At 50.2% G+C, this 17,275-nt stretch overlaps 1 annotated feature.

Moving 5' to 3' along the window:
- Nucleotides 12,570–13,245: an enhancer, noted in NCBI's record as "H3K4me1 hESC enhancer chr10:133200719-133201394 (GRCh37/hg19 assembly coordinates)". NCBI's record gives its function as "activates a minimal SCP1, AML or CMV promoter by ChIP-STARR-seq in naive H9 embryonic stem cells {active_cell/tissue: H9 hESC(naive)}" and the evidence as "EXISTENCE:reporter gene assay evidence [ECO:0000049][PMID:30033119]".

Consider the following 17,275-nt stretch of genomic DNA (forward strand, 5'->3'; position numbering starts at 1 on the left):
CATTGAGATAAACTTAATCCCAACTCCACGCAGTGATTCTTGTATCCTACACCTACACCCATAGGCTGCTTTGAAGAATAGTCATTCGACTGGATGATGGTAATTCCCATGTAATTAATTTCTGGCACACCTTGGGGATCTCTGGAAAGCAGGACATTTATTATGGCAGTGGCTCCTTATTCCTCAGAGTGTCCTCAAAACCCAGAAAACACTTGCTGACCCAGGCCCATAAATTTTCTGGGGCAGAGCTCAGACCGGCAGCGTGTGCAACCTCTCAGATACACAGAACGATGCCCTTGGTTGCCCTCTCCCAGCTGGGGCACTTGCTTCCCCATCCCATTCTTGCCTCCTGAGCCCTGAGATCTCTCTAGGGGTCATCTTTTGGGCCTTGACTTCATCATGGGCTGCTTTCATCTTGTCTTCCTAATCCATTTCCACCCACCTGGACTCCTGAGCACCATAGTCCTCTGGCCTGGAGCCCCAGTATCTGTGAGCTAGTGGTGATGATTTGTAGCAGGCACTGTCTCCATCCTCATGGGTGGGCTCCCACCCTGGCTTCAGCTTCCGGTGTTCCATAATCTTTTTGAAAACTGTAATTTTCAGGGGTACGAATGCAGTTTTGTTAAATGGCTATATAGTTTCATAGTAGTGAAGACAGGGATTTCAGGGCATTCATCATCCAAATAAGATACACTGTACCCATTAAGTAATTTCCCCTCCCCACCCTGACCCACTCTCCCGACCTTCTGAGTCTCCGACGTCCATCATTCCGCACTCTTGGTGGGAATGTAAATTGGCACAACCTCAATGGAAAATAGTACAGAGATTTCTTAGAGAACTAAAAATAGAACAACACCATTTCATCCAGCTAGCCCACTATGGGTATCTACCCAGAGGAAAGAAACAAATATACCTCAAAGATACCTCCACTCCTGCTTCACTTCACTTGAGTCTGGGATGAGTCCTCCGTTTCCTGAGGAACCACGTTCTCCGTGGCTGGCATCCTTGGTCTGAGAATCGATTCAGGTGGTGCATGTGGACGCACTCCACGACTGATTCTAGCATCTGTGCAAACTTAGGAGAGAGTATGTTGCGCTCTATAGAGCAAACTTAGGCATCAGTATGCTGCGCTCTATACTAAATGCCCTGCCATCCCCAAAGGTTCCATCAGGGATGTTGTACCAGCAGATTGCAAAGTGAATTTTGCTCCTATCGCAGCACAACAGGTTGCTCGGTCATGAAAACTCTCCGCTGCTTCTAATGCCCAAGTGCCCTGACTCAGGGATCCAGGCAATCAGTTCCTCTGAGAGCTACAAAGACAGCTGCCGGCAAATTGAAGTGCTGGCTAGGTGTCCAGAGCAGAGGTACTTGGAGACCGTCTTCAAGAGGTATTTCCAAATTCTAATTAAGGAGAGCTTCCTAGATAAGGAAAGTGTGTCAGAAACTATGTCAGAATCATGTATTATTATTTGGGTTTTCTTCTTTCAAATAGGAGGCTTCGCTGTGAGCTCGGCACTCAGGGACGATTGTTTAAATGGTGTTTGCTGATTTGGCTTTATGTGAAAGAAACCTTCATAAATAATAGGCACCAGCTTTGTTGATCTTCTTGCATTATAATAAATTCCATGAAGTAGGTGATAGGATCCATTGATTTGTAGTTCAAGCCACATTTTTAAACTATCAGACGACTGTCAATTCCGTCACTGCACTCTTGCGTTTACCCCTGGTTCTGTAGCGTGTCCATCGACTTGGCTGTTTTCATGAGGTGCACTGAGACCGTGACACCCCCACCCCTAGGACCACAGTCACGACTCACATTGTGCAGATCATTTTCTGGAAGTGGCAGAAACATGAATATTGCCATCCAAAGATTAGGGACAATGGCATTTATAGACATGCATACCTTTTACTATAGTCTAAAGATGCATAAGGCCCTTTAAAGCTCAGTATACTCACTAAAAAAATGAGCTCTGCAGCCTCACCAATAATAACTTCACAGCAAATTGCCCATTGTTCCTCAGAGTTCATTTTTAGGAGGCTGAGATCTGAGCCCCGATGGGATTTTTCTCTGCAGTAAAGCAATACACCAGCAAATTATAGACAATAAGTCTGATTGAATCAGTATTGTTCATAAGCACACTGAGTGATAAAACATGAAGTGGATGGAAGCGACTGATGCTAATTGCTAGCTCAGCCACTGTGAACCAGGCAGCCTGCTGAGTGCAGCACTCTAGAAGTTGCCAGGGTATTGATTGTCTCTGGACAATGGCACTGGGAGACCCACGTGGCTCCCAGGAGAATGGCCCTTGCCCCTCAAGAAGGCCTGCTGCCTCACTGCCTGCCCAGGCCCAGGCATCTGGAGTCCAGGTCTGTAAAGGAACCAAGTCCCATCATTGCAATATCTCTCTGGATTCCATTGTAATCCATTTCAGACGCAGCCACACGTGTTCATGAACTCATCAATGCAATCTGGAAATTTGACTTTGGCTTGTGATCTCTGACATTTTGATGTTTTAAAGTGGGTTTTCTGGAGTGGAGTCTTGGGCCTCCCTCTCACACTTACGGAGTCTTCCTATGGGCGTGCCCTCCAGTCTCCGTCAGTGTGTTCTGCCGTTTGCATACGGGTTGATAAACTTTGTCACTCGGCCTTTTCCATTTGGGAGTCTGCAAAACAAGGGCTGAGTCTGAGACCGTCATGACAGTGTCAAATCCCCAACGCTGCAGGAAGTCAGCAACGGCGCAGCCCACGAGTCTCCAGCACCGCCAGCATCTACCTGTCTCCGTCTTTAGAATGAAAGGGATCAAAGCCACTTTGTTACCTCCAAGGGCAATGGCTGGGGAGGGGCTGCTCTTCTCTTCTCTTTATCTGAACATCCTCGTGATTCAGCCTTTTTAGGGCCACCACGGTGCCCGATTCTAAGTTGTATGCTCTTTTCACCAACAGAAGACATTGCTCTCAGGGGAATGGTCAGGATCCGCTTCCCAGATGGGGACGTGGCCCCCACCTTCTATGACCCTGTGTGTGTCACCAAAAGCCCCGTCGAAGCTGCAGCTTTCTGATGAACAGGGCTGGGAGTGTGGGGAGCATGGCAGGGGATTTGGCACCAGCCTGAGGGGAAAGAGTTAGAGAAATGGGGGCGGCTGGGAAACGTCCGAGTTGTGTGTTTTTGGTTTGTTTATTTTGCACAACAAGCCTTCACTGCTTTGAAATTGAGAATTAATAGCTGAATGTTGCATGTAGAAGGTGAGTTTGTGCCTGAATGGCAGAAGTAAAGCATGTGCAATCCCTTGATCCCCAGACTGTCCCCATGGCTGTGTTCCTTCCTGCCGCAAATGACTGTGGAAGGTCTTTGGTGATGGTGTGGAGGCCTGGGGATTCCTTAATCAGGGGGCACTTCTGTGTGTTCATGGAGATCCTTTGGGCACCCCTAATGCAATTCTCCCCATTTCCGAAGCCAAAGTGATCCTTTTCTGAGATACAAACACAAACCTGGAGTAGCTCCTGGCTCAGTATGCAAATGTTGGGTCACAGATTGTCCCCAAGGCCCTGCAGGTCCATCCCCGCAGGTCTCTGCCACCTCAGACCTGGGCCCCCTTTCCCTCCACATCCCAGTCCTCTTGAGGGTCTTCCTGTTCCCCAGGTGGGCTCCACTTGAACTGACCTCCAGCCTTAACATTCGCTGCTCTCTGGCTGAGACTCTCTCATCTCACCTCATCTCCCATCTTCCAAACCTCAACCCGTTACTTCCTTCTGAGCATCTTCCCTGACCCCACATCCACTCCAGCATGGGGAAGGAATTCCTCCAGGAAGTCTCAAAGGAGACCGGAGGCCCTGTCACAGCCCCAGTTGCTCCCTGCTCTAAGGGTCTTCGGCACTGTCCCTGTTTCCATTTCTTTTTTTTTTTTTTTCGGTCTTGCTCTGTCACCCAAGCTGGAGTGCAGTGGCACCATCATAGCTCACTGTAACCTCGAACTTGTGGGCTCAAGTGATCTTCCTGCCTCAGTCTCTCAGGTAGCTGAGACTTGTCCTCTTTCATTTTTTTTTTATTTCCCCTCCATTTCTTGTGGCTCCTGCAGCAAATGCCTCCATGCTAAGGAGCTGGAAGCAACACACATTTATCATCCACAGTTCTGAAGGTCAGAGCCCAAAGTCCCTTTATGGGCTAACGTCAAGGCATCAGTAGGGCTGCATTCCTCCTGGATCCCCTAGAGAAGAATGGCTTCTTTCTTTTCCAAGTTCTAGAGGAACTTGTGTTCCTGGGCCGCTGGCCTTTCCCCCATTTTCAGAGCCAGCCATGTAGCCTCTTCACGCCTCTCTCTGGCTCTCTGATCTCTTGTCCCATCCCATGGCCTGACTCGCACCCTTCTGCCTCCCTCTTATGAGGGCACTTGTGATTTCAGTGGGCCCTCCCAGAGAGTCCAGGAGAATCTCCCCAACTCCAGGTCCTTCACCACATCACACCTCCAAAGGCCCTTCTGCCACATAAGGAGACACACGCACAGGTCCTGTGGATTAGGACGTGGCACCTGGAGAGAGGGCACTTGTCAGCCAATTGCAGTGCGTCTCACCATGTTGCAGTCAACTCTGGAGTCTGAGGACTGTGTCTCTCGTGTTCACTATTGTAGACTTGTCATGTGGCACAGAGCCTGGCCCATGGAGCTTCCTACAAATCCATGTTGAATTAAGTAAATGAATGGATGAGTGGATGGATGAGTGGATGGATGGATGGATGGATGGATGGATGAGTGGATGGATGAGTGGATGGATGAGTGGATGGATGGATGGATGGATGAGTGGATGGATGAGTGGATGGATGGAGGGATGGATGGATGGATGGATGGATGGATGGATGGATGGACTTCTATGATATCCCAAGTTCACTTTGAAGCCTCAAAATCAGCCATGACACAAAACAGCTCAACAGGGCCTATTTGTTTAAGAGCTGACTTGATCCAGACACCTCATGGTCTAGGGCCAGGCCATAACTAAGTGGGCCTGAAGTGTGGGTACATTTCCACTCTCAGCCTTGCCCCAAGAGAAGCACCCATCCTCCATGCCCCAGTAGACTTCACAGTGGATGCTTTTATCATTTGTTTGAAAGCTGGGCTGAGCAGGATCCACACTGAGAACCCTTATGATGGTAAATGACACAAAGCCCCCCACTGAGTAGACATAAGTCATATGACCACTGTGGACACTTCCCAGCTCCATCTCTAGGCCATGTGATAGCCCTTTGACCTCAAAAAACTCGAGAGCTTGTGTTTGATGCAAGTTTCAATCTCCAACTAGGCTCATCTAGTCCCGTTATTATTATCTAATATTTTTAACGTGAAAAGAGGTCGTGTTATAAAGAATAGGAGAAGGAGTTCAGATCCTGGTATTGTGCTACTCATTCAGAGAAGCTCAGTACACAGAGGCTAGTCTGGCTCTCAAAGTGTCTTCCAGGAAATGTCACCCACAAGCCCCGTCTGTGTGTACACCAAACTCAAGGGTTCCATGGGCAAAGACCTTTTCAGGGAGACAGTCACAGTGCACACTCATCAAATAGCCACGTTGCCAATGCCGGCTCCCTGCCTATCAAGAAGCACCCACCTGGAAGTCTTTGCAAGTGAAGCAGTGAGGTTGGGTGAGATCCAGGCTTGCCTTATGCCTCCAGCCTGCAGCTGAGGTCCAGGGAGGTTCAATCCCTGTGCTCAATGGGGCAGGAGTCAGCACCTTCAGGACTGCACCCCCTACTTGTTGCAAGTCACATGTAAACTGAACTTACAAATTCCAGGCTGAGATTTCTTAAACCAAAAGTTTGCAACTTTTGGTTACTTAGCAATTGTTTGTGACCTATAAGATAATTGACAAAATGTTTTTCCAAAAATAAAATATGTCCATCAACTGACTTGAGTTCTGTGTCTCTTTTTATCTTCAAGTTTCCACTCCATTTGGATAGATTCTGTCACCCGGCCACATTATTTCAGGGGAGATTTTCTCTTGTAAATGAATATGACTCTGCAGTCAACATTTGGGTGTGAACCCTGTGTTTCTGCTCACACTGTCTCTATCCCACCACCACAATGACCTTAGTAAAATGCAAGCAAAATTTTAATAATACTGAGGAGGCTACAGAGAGCCTAAAGAGAAACTCTTCCAAAGTACATGTGGTCTAATTTATAAGACGCTGCTTATCTTGCCTTCCAAAATAATATAGCAAACTGACAGCACAGAGGAGATTATCTGCACGCCCGGGGAGCAGGAGCGAGGGTCAATTTGTCACAATGGACGTCACTGCCACAGTGAGCTCTTCTTCAATTAATGTCCACATTCAGGAGAAACCTTGTTATCTAAATGCTGTTGTTAATTATTCCTGGACAACAGCTTGGGAGGAGACTTGCCTGGGACTCCCACCAATTGCAGAACTAGGGAACCACCTGCAGGGGACTGGAGCCATCAGGAGGGAGATGGTGCCAGCAAGCTTGGTAGGAGCCTGTATTTAAATAAAATCTGCTCATATCCAAGGTAAGTGCAATCTGGCAAGTGATATTATCTTGGCCTCTACAAGGGGAAGAGAAGGCAACTGTGGAAGCAGAAGTGTAATTGTCAAGAAATTGCCCGGCTAATGGACCCTGTGATTTGGGGCCTTGAATGTCCCTGCAGTGCTCTGACAGTTGCTTGACGTGAAGCTGTGATTTCGTAGGCGGCACGCTCATGGAATCCCTGCCCATTTGTTCCTGCACGGACATTTGCTAGGTATTTGCAAATCTTTTCTTTTGCAACTTTGCCATGAAAATCATTATGTTTTGAGTTTCATAATTTCGCAAGTGCGTTGCATAACTAGAAAAGGCTAACCATGGATTCTCCTTTTTCCCATCATTTTCACAATTTTATTCCATGCCCTGGAGTCAGGGTTCTGACAGGGCGTGCTAAGGTCAGAGTCAGAAGCTGAGCGGAACTCTCAGAGCTGGACGGCGAGCTGCACGGTGAGTAGAAAGCTGACTCACACTTTCCACTTACATTTTGAATAAACATGTTTGAAATCTCTGAAAGTTAACCAAGAGGTGGAGCTGAAACTATGAACATACACATGCAGCTGCAATGGCCACATATCAAACATCCGATGATGTGTGCAGCGTGATCTCTGAGGTGGATTAAATTGCGTCTGCTACGCTCATGGCCAGGGGTGCAGCAATGCCAATTCACCTTCCCAAAAACCCACTCTCTTCGCACGTTCTGCCTCTTTCTTGATTGTTTATTGACTCTTATTTTCCTAGGAAAATTTTAACCCTAAATTTCCAGACAGCCTGTAAGTTAGCAAGAGTAACAGGGACAGAGCTAAACAGCCTACTGCAGTCCTAACCCCCCTCCCCACTCACAGCTGCGGCAGGTGGAATTCCACACCCCCGTCATGTGAAGGAAAAGGCATCTTGCTGGGGCTGTGTAAGAAAGCAAAGAATGTCAGGTAATTCTAGGAGCTGACCCACTAGCGTTTCTCATGTCCCCGCTCATTTAATCCCTGCAACAGTCTATGAGCTGGATACGGTTATTATCCCCACTTTGCAGGCAAGTGAGGTAGAGGCATGGACAGCAGAAGTGACTTGCCCGGGGGAACGCAAGGAGCATGGGGAAGGCCGGGGGTCCCTGTGCACACGCTCGACCACCACGCTATGGTGTTGCCCTAAAAAACCAGTGTCACCCCGTGACCAGATGGTGCCACACAGGCCCAGGCTCTTGGTACAAAGAACTGGGCGAGACACACATAGATAGCACAGCAAGGCAGGGCCAGTGTATGAAGCACAGTGTCCCCCTCTCGGAGCGGGGAGTGGACTGACCTCTCCAAGATGAGAACCGCATCCGTTTGGTGTAGTTTGGGTCCTTTTAAGCGTTTTTATTTTTCCTTCTCTTTCCAAAGCTGCCTAATCTCTAGCCGTGTCTGCCCTTTCTTGATGGGGTGGGTGTTCTGCTTAGTTACTTTGGCCCCTTTGTGCTTGTGAGTCACCTCCATCCCATAATTCTAAGTACCTGCACGGTTCGCAGCCCCTGTGCATGAACCTTAGGTAGCCGATTTTCATATGGGGTGATGCGAAGGATACTTTTTCTCTGTAAGGCGCATGCCCATCTCTGAAGAGCTGCCGCTGACTGATTTGGCCGGGATCCTGCCGGCCACGGGGTCCTTGCTCACTTTTGAATCTCACCTTTGTTTTAGCTGCCGAACCTCTGCTTTCTGTCTTTCTTCTTGCTCACCTGTCCCTCCACTTTGCCTCTGTTTTCTGCTTTAACTCACTCTGCCCTTTATCCAACTTTGAATTTTCCTGCCTCATTTTCCCTTTTCTCCTGCTTCAACCCAGTTACTAGTTTTGTTACAGTGTCCTGGTCCCCAGGCAGAAATCTCCCTCCTGGGTGGGTGTGGCTGCTGGTGGATGGTGGGTCTTCTCCAGGTGAGGGCGTGGGGACTGCTGAGCCTGACCAAAGCAGCTGGCTCGGTGGGGAGCCAGGGTCCAACCCGTTCTTGGAGCCTCCCTGGAAGGAGCAGAATGTGCCCCTCGAGAGTCCGGCCCTGTGTCCCAGGCTCCCTGCTCTGCTGCTGTGACCCCTGCATGTCATCCCTTCCTCTGATGTCTCCACCCCCAACTGTCCCTTCAAGCAATGGCCTGCACATTACTGCTTTGATTGCTTATTTTGCCTGTAACTTAAAGCAAAGAAAGAAGTAACCCCCTTCTTCACTCCAAAGAGTAAATGTAAACTTCAAAACCTCTGCAGGATTCTCACGTCTTTTGTAAGGCAAGCCTGTCGTGGCAGTAGATGCTTCTCTGTAGTAAGTGGACAGTCCTGCTCCTCAGCGCAAGTCAGATACACCTACCCTCACACCGCCTCTTGCATTTGCAAGAAAAAATGCAAACAAACTATGCAAATGTTATCATAGAAAACATTTGCAAGGCTGGGCATGGTGGCTTATGCCTTACAAGTATTTCCCAGCATCTTGGGAGGCTGAAGCAGGAGGGTTACTTGAGCCCAGGAGTTTGAGGCCAGACTAGGCAACATGGTGAGACCCTGTCTCTACAAAAATATTTTTTAAAAATTAGCCAGGCATGATGGTGCATACCTGTAGTCCCAGCTACTTAGGAGGCTGGAGTGGGAGAATCACTTGAGCCTAGGAGATCAAAGGTGCAGTGAGCTGAGATTGCATCACTGCACGTCAGCCTGGGCAACAGAGCAAGATCCTGTCAAAAAAAAAAAAAAAAAGAAAGAAAAGAAAAATTTGCTTAATTATTAATATTGACGTACAACAGGCATGCAGGTGAAATGTGGCTGCAGGTAGAGGAAGCACGCCATAAGCCAACACTAACCTTCTGTTAGAAATGCTTGTTCTCCGGTGCTATAAAGAAACAGCACTTGAACATAAATTTAATTTCCTCAGCAAGGCCATTTTTACTTTCTGCAGAAAGGGTACACTTGCCAGCAGTTTTGCCATGAGAGTACACCGAACAAAGGAGGCAGGGTCATTTATAACCTCATGCGTCCATCCTACTGCTGTGTCCGGTTTCCATTGGCTGGAACGGGACTTCACATTCGGTATTTGTCCCGACTGGCTAGCAACTTAGAACTTTTAAAAGAGGTGAAGGTACAGGAGAACAAAGGAAGGAGGAAATAACTTGTGGAATGCTGAGAAAGGTAAAAATGCTTTTAAATAAGGAAGAGGAACCGGCTATGACCTAATGCTTGCTTGGACCAGTATAAGCATGCCAGGGTGAATATTTAAGCTACATTGTGGGAGCTAAAATCATAAAGTACATTGATTTTTTTATTGCAGCCAATAGATATTTAAGAATGTTAGCACATGTCTTTGAATAAATTTTGCTTCTAAGATAAGTTACTATTTATCCCTAATTGGATGGGGAGGAAAGTCTTTGAAGAGGAAGCTCTTCTTTACTTTCTACACTTCTTTCAACACACTCTTTGCAGAGCCATCTCAACCCAGCCTCCAAATCCTATTCCTCCAGTTTAATAGCCGACACTGATGGTATAATAAATTGATGAAGTCTACATGAAAGAAAAGCTCTCATTCCCAAATGCAAACTTTAACTCTGACCTAGAGTGAACTCAGCTTCCATTTCTCATGTTGTACTGAAAGATTATCTTTCTAAAAGGCCATGTGTTCTATGGACGGAGAGTCCACCCAGCGTTGATCAGGATCTGAAGACTCTCCCCAGAAAGATCAGGATTTTAGGGGGAAAGAGGCTTTAAGAGTAGTCAGGCCTCCCGAGGAGGAGCACATGTCTGTCTGTGAGTGAACCATCTGCCAGGAGAAGGCCAGAGAGCACAGCTTCCAGCCCAGCAGCTTCCAATGGGATTCGGAAAGCTGATGAGATGCAGAAGCAGTGAGGATGGCCAGAGGGGATAAGCGAGAACAAATGGTGATTCCAAAGAAACACACCATTCAGCATGCCCCTTGGTGTACATGCAGTTCTGGCATGTGGGTTCCCCGGCACCAGTGGGCGTTTAAAAGCAGAGGATACCCTGTTTTCTAGAACCAAGAGGAAATTCTCAGTGATTCTGGTTGGCACAGAAGGGAGGGGGCAGTGCGTGTGAGGGTGGGATTCACAGCTGTTGGCTGGGCTTCCTCTCCTTCCAGACACGGTCCTGAGTGCTGAGATGAACAAGACATGGCCTCCGCCCTCAGGACCTCAGTCCTCCAGGCCCAGCAGAAAGCAGGACAATGGTTCATGCAGGGAGACAGCTTAAGCAGGGCCCTCCTAGCCAGCCCCAACCTGAGTGGGGAGGGTGCCTGTGGCAGTGCAAAGGGGAGGGTGGAGGGAGAGGCTGGGGAGCGCAGCACCACTCCACCAACAGTAAAGGGCTTGCCTGGGCCACCGCGGAGGCGGCTGAGGTCAGAGCCCTGCAGGTGATGCCACAGCAATCCCTCATGGAAGTGACACTTGGTGTCAACCTCAAGGAGCCTTCCCTCCCTGTGTCAGCTTGATTGGGCCCCTGGATTCCCAGGCATTTGGTCAAACATTATTCTGAGTGTGTGGGTGAGGGTATTTGGGATGAAACTAACATTTTGAATGGGTGGGGTGAATTAAGTAGATTGCCCCCTCCCATTGGTGAATGAGGCAGGCGGGCCTCATTCATCAGCTGAAGGCCTGAATAAAACGAACGCTGACTGTCTCCCAGATAAGAGAGAATTCTTTCTTCCTGCCAGCCTTTGAAGGGAGACATCAGCTTTTTTCCTGCCTTCAGACTCAGACGAAAACACCGGCTCTTCCTTGGTCTTGAGCCTGCCGGGCTTCAAACTGGAAGCTACACCAGCAGCTCTCCCGGGTCTCCAGCCTGCCGACTCACCTTGGATATTGTGGGACTTGTCAGTGTCCATCCCCTTGTAAGTCCCTCCCTTACAGCAAATATGTACATCCTATAGTCGCCCCTCAGACTGGTCAGTGTCCGTGGTCTTGTGAGCCCATCCCTTACAGCAAATATGTACATCCTATAGTCGCCCCTCAGGATCCCTGGGGGGTTTGCTCCAAGACCTCTCACAGATATCGAAATCCACAGATGCCCAAGTCCCTGGTCTAAGATTTTGTAGTGTTTGCATGCAACATAAGACATCCTCAGGGTACTTCACATCATCTCTGGATTACGTAGAATACCTAATACAATGCGCATGCTATGTAAATAGTTGTTATAATTTATTGTTTAGGGAAGAACAAGCAAAACAAGCCTCTGCATGTTCAGAACAGATGCCATTTTTTTTCCAGTGGTTTCTGATGAGAGGGCGGTGAATTCATGGATGCAGAACCCATGGATATGGAGGGCCAGCTGCATATCCACGCATGAACCCCAGCGGCTGCGTAACCACCTCAGAGGGCATTTTCATTCAGGTTCTTCATGAACAACATATGCATGCGGTCCTGACTTGAAAGAGGGCCCAGTGATGGTTTAAATGCTTTACCTGTATGCTTAGGAACCAATCATAAATGTTATATCTTATCTGAAAATAGAACCTAGAAAACTAAAGAAGCGATCTTCTCACTGCAGAACTCACGTCCAGATGTCAGATAAGTCTGGGAATGGGACAGATAGGGAAGTGCACCAGGAGCCTGCAGGCCCTTGGAAAGGACCAGGGATTGTGGGGGCCATGGAGGGTGGTGCAGGGGTCATGATTCTGCAGAAAGGGTGGCACATGGAAGCCAGCGAGCTGTGACCTCAGTGTGATGGGGATTCACGCCCCAGCAGGTTCCTTGTGGATCTCTTGCACCGAGCCACGTCCTGTGAGATCATTTCCTGTCATATCCTATCCATGCGTCCACTCATTCACGCACCCTGTGGAGTAATGTGGATTCAAACCCTTTCCTGATTGGTTTCTTTGGCACTCTCCCACCTCTCTGTGAAAATTCCTCAAAGCTCCCAGGCCATGTGTAGTGTTTGCGATCGCTTAGAAATCTGGAGACAGACAGTTCAGCCACAGGTAATTCCTGTATATCGAGTCACTCTTAATATTGATGCCAGCCTGTTAATGATTCTCTAAATCCATATTCAACTCTTCAGCCGAAAAGCGGGCAGAGGTGTGAAATGAGGGGCTCCCTCCTAGCTCTAAATGTCGCTCACAGGGCGGGGTGGCCGTTGTTACTCTAGTTAACACGGGGCAGGTGTGAGGAGACTTGCTGCATATTCTGTCATCAACAGGAGAACTGGCTCCCTTGTTATGAGGATGAAATAATGACATTGTAGTGGAGTGAGTCCTAGAAATACGTCATTGACTGCCAGAGGAAAAGCTTCAGCATTAATTGCATCAAAATGGAAGGTACTTAAAAACTGAACAATGTGAAATTACGTGGAGAAAATCAGCCTTAAACAGCTTCCCAGAGGTTGAACTGTGTGGATGTCGAGCAGCTGTTACCCCAGGTCGGGGGCTGAGAAGGCACTGGGATAGGAGGCAGGGGATGGGGCGGTTGACCAGACGGCCCCCAACTCTGCGCGTGTTTCAGGATCTTCTGGGCTCTGGATGTAGCATCTTAACATGGGGATGGGGTGGGGTGTCCGCGACACTGCAGACACTGCAGACACAGCCACCCACCAGCGGAGGACCAGCTGCAGGGGAGCCATGGGGACCGGTGTGCTGAGGCCTGGGGCGGCAGAGAGTGCCCCAGGGCAGCCCAGCCTGGGCTTGGAGACCTTGCCCTCCTTCCCCTCTGTGGGTGGTGCTGGGCGGGCCATGGGTGGAGAACATGGTGTGGAAAGCCCCCCCTCCCCGGAACAGGGCACACCTTCCCCTCAGGGTCCACGTGTGGATTCACTGCAGCCGGGGCCACAGAGATGAGGACGGCCCGTCGTCCCTCCTGCCGGGCCGTGGGACTCCCCCACCCGCAGCTTACACACAGAGTTTGTCGAAACATACAAAGGAAAGGAGAATGTGGGAGGGGAAGGGAGCCGCAGCCACGTCCCGCCTGCCCTTTGAAAGACTGGTTTGAAAGCGTCTCGCACCAGGCTCCGTCCGCGCCCCCTTCGGAGTGGCCTCTGGATGGGAGTCTTGCTGCCCAGAATCCGGCTTCTAGGAAGCCTCCCATCGTCCTCAAGTCACCGCATCAAAACAGATGGGTCTGCTCCAGTGTCTGTGATCCCTGACCTTGGATTGACCAGGAAAGTGACCTCCAAAAATCCTCCGGCATTTTCAGTTTCTAGATCAAAAGGGCTGCGGGTTCCAACCTACCAAGGGCAGCAAAGGTGGCTCACGTTTCAAACAGAAAGACACAAACCATCTGGAGAGCAGCTTCTGAGACCTGAGCATGAAAAGCGCTCATTTAAAACCGAGCGCTTCCTAATTTCACCGTTTTCAGCTCAGCTCTCGGGCCATGACCGCGCCACCGCTGCTTTGGGTAGAGAATAGCTCATTCCAGACCCTTCTGGGCCCCATAGAGCAGGGCCTGGCTTAGTGACTCAGAACTTTGAACTCTACCTGAACAATTTGTGAACAATTTCTCAGCGAGGAAAGAGGAGCAATGTCCCTCTGTGGGTCTCTCGCATCTCTGTGCTGGCGGCACGGGAGGGGGCAGTCACACCGTGCTGTGCACTTCACCTCCAAAATTCATCACTAGGGAAAGAAAGCAAAGGACAGATCCAATCAGCAGGGGCGGGTGGTGGGGGAGGCTGGCATGGGGTAGCACAGGCCATGGGGACAAGCTGCCCACAGCAGCATGGCTGGAGGAAGCCCCCCAGTAGGGCTGCCAGAGCCTGGTCCTGAGCATCTCCCCCACCAGCCATCCTGGGGCGAGGCCTCCCCTCCACAGCCCTGGCCTCACTGAGCCTGGCCCACCGCAAGGGTGACTTGTAGCCCCCCGGGGACTCCCGGGCTGACTCCAAACTCCAGCGATGGGGCGGAACAGCAGGACCTCATCACCAGGAGAGCATGGCTGATCCTGGGGGAAGCCTGAGAGTTTAGAAAATAACCATTCTGCCCACTCACCCAATATTGCACTAATGGGGTCTTGCCCAGGCTCAGGGGCTCCCATAGGCACAGAGCACGGTGGGAGTGACCCTCCCACCCACCTAGACACCCCTCTTGAGGGGCTCCCCCAGGCAGGGAGGCATCTGCTTTAGCTCTTATTCTGGCACCAGCAGAGAAGAGCTGGGAGCCATGCCATCAGCCAGGACATGCCTTCGCTCTCAGCCACTGCCTGCATCTGGCACCAAAGCTCTCCATGCTCTTCTCAGTCCCCACAGGGCCTCCCTCCAATCCGGGGTAATGGCCTGGGGTGTGTGCATGAAGGGGTCTGTAATGTCCCCTGTGAGCCAACCTGTGCCAGTGATCAGATGCCACAGGGAAGTTAAACTCAATCACGGCCATGCCAGCTGGTAATTCACCAGGGAACACCGGCTCCATTTACTGGGATGCAGAAACAGAGCAGACAAATGGAGATGGTGGCTTCAGAATTTCACATTAATGTGAGGGGTTGTAAATACTAAATAATATTGATGACTTGGTCTAAATTCAGATTTTCTTCCTGGAAGCAGCAATAAATCACATGAAAATATTTCATACATTGGAAGTCTGATTTGTGAGGAGCATCTGAATAGATATAAATGTCACTCCTTCGAGGAGTGGAGGAGTTTAGTCTCCCCATGTGTGTGGCTCTGGGTCAGGTTCTGTGAGGATGCAGAGGACGGGGGTCAAGGTGTGGTCCCTGAGGAGACCCCCGGATTATGGGTCGGGAGACACAGGTGGGCAGCGAGTCTCCATCCTCTGAGGCCTGGTAGGCCGGGGGCACTCCGGGCCTAGAGTGGCTGACCAGAGGATGTGCGAGAACATGGGTTCCCCAGAGCTGCACGTAAGCTCAGCAGAGATGGAAGGATGTGCCTTTTCTGGCAAGACAAATAGGGACCCCCCCAATTGTGTGCACTGAGCACCCTCTGCCGGGAGCAGTTCCCAAAGTCCACCTGCATCGTCTCATGCACCCTCTGCTCCCTGTGGGGAGGCAGCGCTGTCTGTTTGTACAGGGGAGGACACGGAGAACCAGGACAGGTAAGGCCCAGGTGACGAACAGCCTAGTTCTATGCACCTGTAAGAAGGAAGTGGGGAGAACAGGTGTGTAGACAGGGTCCCTCCAGCCTGGACCTCACTCTCCCTCTGGAATCACACCCTCTTTCTTAGCAAGACCTCGGGAGGAATCCTCCTGGGCATGTGGGGAGTGGTCTGCGGAAGGGCCTGTGAATCAGCCAACGTGTGCCAAAAAGGACTTGGGTTAAGGCTGAAAGAAGTTGAGTTGGTTGTGCGGTAGCTTAAATGGTCAGCTGAGGACCCTGCTTGATGGAAGAGTCACCTTGAATGGTCAGCTGAGGACCCTGCTTGATGGAAGAGTCACCTTGAATGGTCAGCTGAGGACCCTGCTTGGTGGAAGAGTCACCTTGAATGGTCAGCTGAGGTCCCTGCTTGGTGGAAGTCATGGATATTTGGGAATACAAAGAGCAGATACAGTTGATGCCTGTTATTCGTGGATTCCACGTCTGCGAATTTAACTGCTTGCTAAAGTCGATACTCGTGGTACTTTCGCAGTCACTAACGAACGTGTGCAGAGAGGTGACAGCATCCATGCGGCCACAGGCACGTTCCCGCTGAGGTTGGCAGGCTGGCTGTCTTGGCTCCGTCTTCTCCTCTCAGCCCCGCACCGTAAACGCGCATCCTTTGCGCAGTCTGTTTAGCAGGTCACGTTTTGCATTTTTATGGATTTTGTTGGTGTATTCACTGCTTCATGGAGCACAGAGCCGGAGTCCTGTGCAGTGTTCCTAAAGGCAGGATGCCTGTGACGTGCCATCAGGAGGAACTGCGTGTGTTAGAGAAGTCCTGCCAAGGATGAGCCACTGTGCTGCTGGCCACGAGTCCAGGGTTAAAGAATCAGCAATGTGTACTTAATAAGATGCCTTAAACTTCTACATATAACACAAGGTCATGCACTGATTGGTTGGCAGAAAGTGGTCAGAAGCTTGTAGGAGCCTACTCCTCTATTTCCCCTAGGAGCAAGGCCTCAGTACTCACGAATTCAATGTTCACAGTGACTTTACAGGACATAGCTGTGGTGAATAATGAGAATCCCCTGTAGCTGGAAAAAGAGCTTTCTCCCAAGGGGAAGTCCATTCCTAGCAGGTCAGGAGAGAGCACCCTGGTCTGAGACCTGCCATGGCCACAGCCTCTGCCAGTTCAATTCTTGAAGGCCTGCTCTGTGCCAGGGCTGGGCCAAGCTCTTTCTCTGTATCTTCTCTTAACCATCAGAACAACCCAAAAAGCTGTGTCATTTCTCATTTACACAGGAGGGGACTGAAACCAGAAATGAGGTGACTGTGGCCAAGGCTGCAGGACTAACAAATGGCCACCAAGGGTGGAAACCCAGGCAGCCCGAGGCCTCCCATGCCCAGGCCCCAGTGTTCAGTGACTCCTGCCTGCACTCCCACAGGGTCCCGGAAGTTCCCCCACTCAGCGGCATCTCTGCATGTGTCGGGAGAAGGACGGGACATGTGGACGTCATGACCGCAGAGCACCGTGAGCCGTCCTTGGGAGCAGAGCACCACTTAGGGTTTGGGTAGAAGGTTGAGGGTGCACCCACCTGGAGAGAGCCTGGATGGGCACCTTCCTGCAGGTTACATGTGTGGACAGGTGTCCTCGGAGGCGAGCCACCTCTGCCTGGGGACAGCCTCGCTGGTATTTTAAGGCCAGACAGGCTTTGTGAGTGGCACCAAGGAGGGAGCACACCCTCCTGGTCACTGTGCTCTTTGCACCTGTGTGGGGGACATTCCAGCAAA

The sequence above is a fragment of the Homo sapiens genome, chromosome 10 (genome assembly GCF_000001405.40).
Source record: "Homo sapiens chromosome 10, GRCh38.p14 Primary Assembly".
NCBI classification, from domain to species: Eukaryota; Metazoa; Chordata; class Mammalia; order Primates; family Hominidae; genus Homo; species Homo sapiens.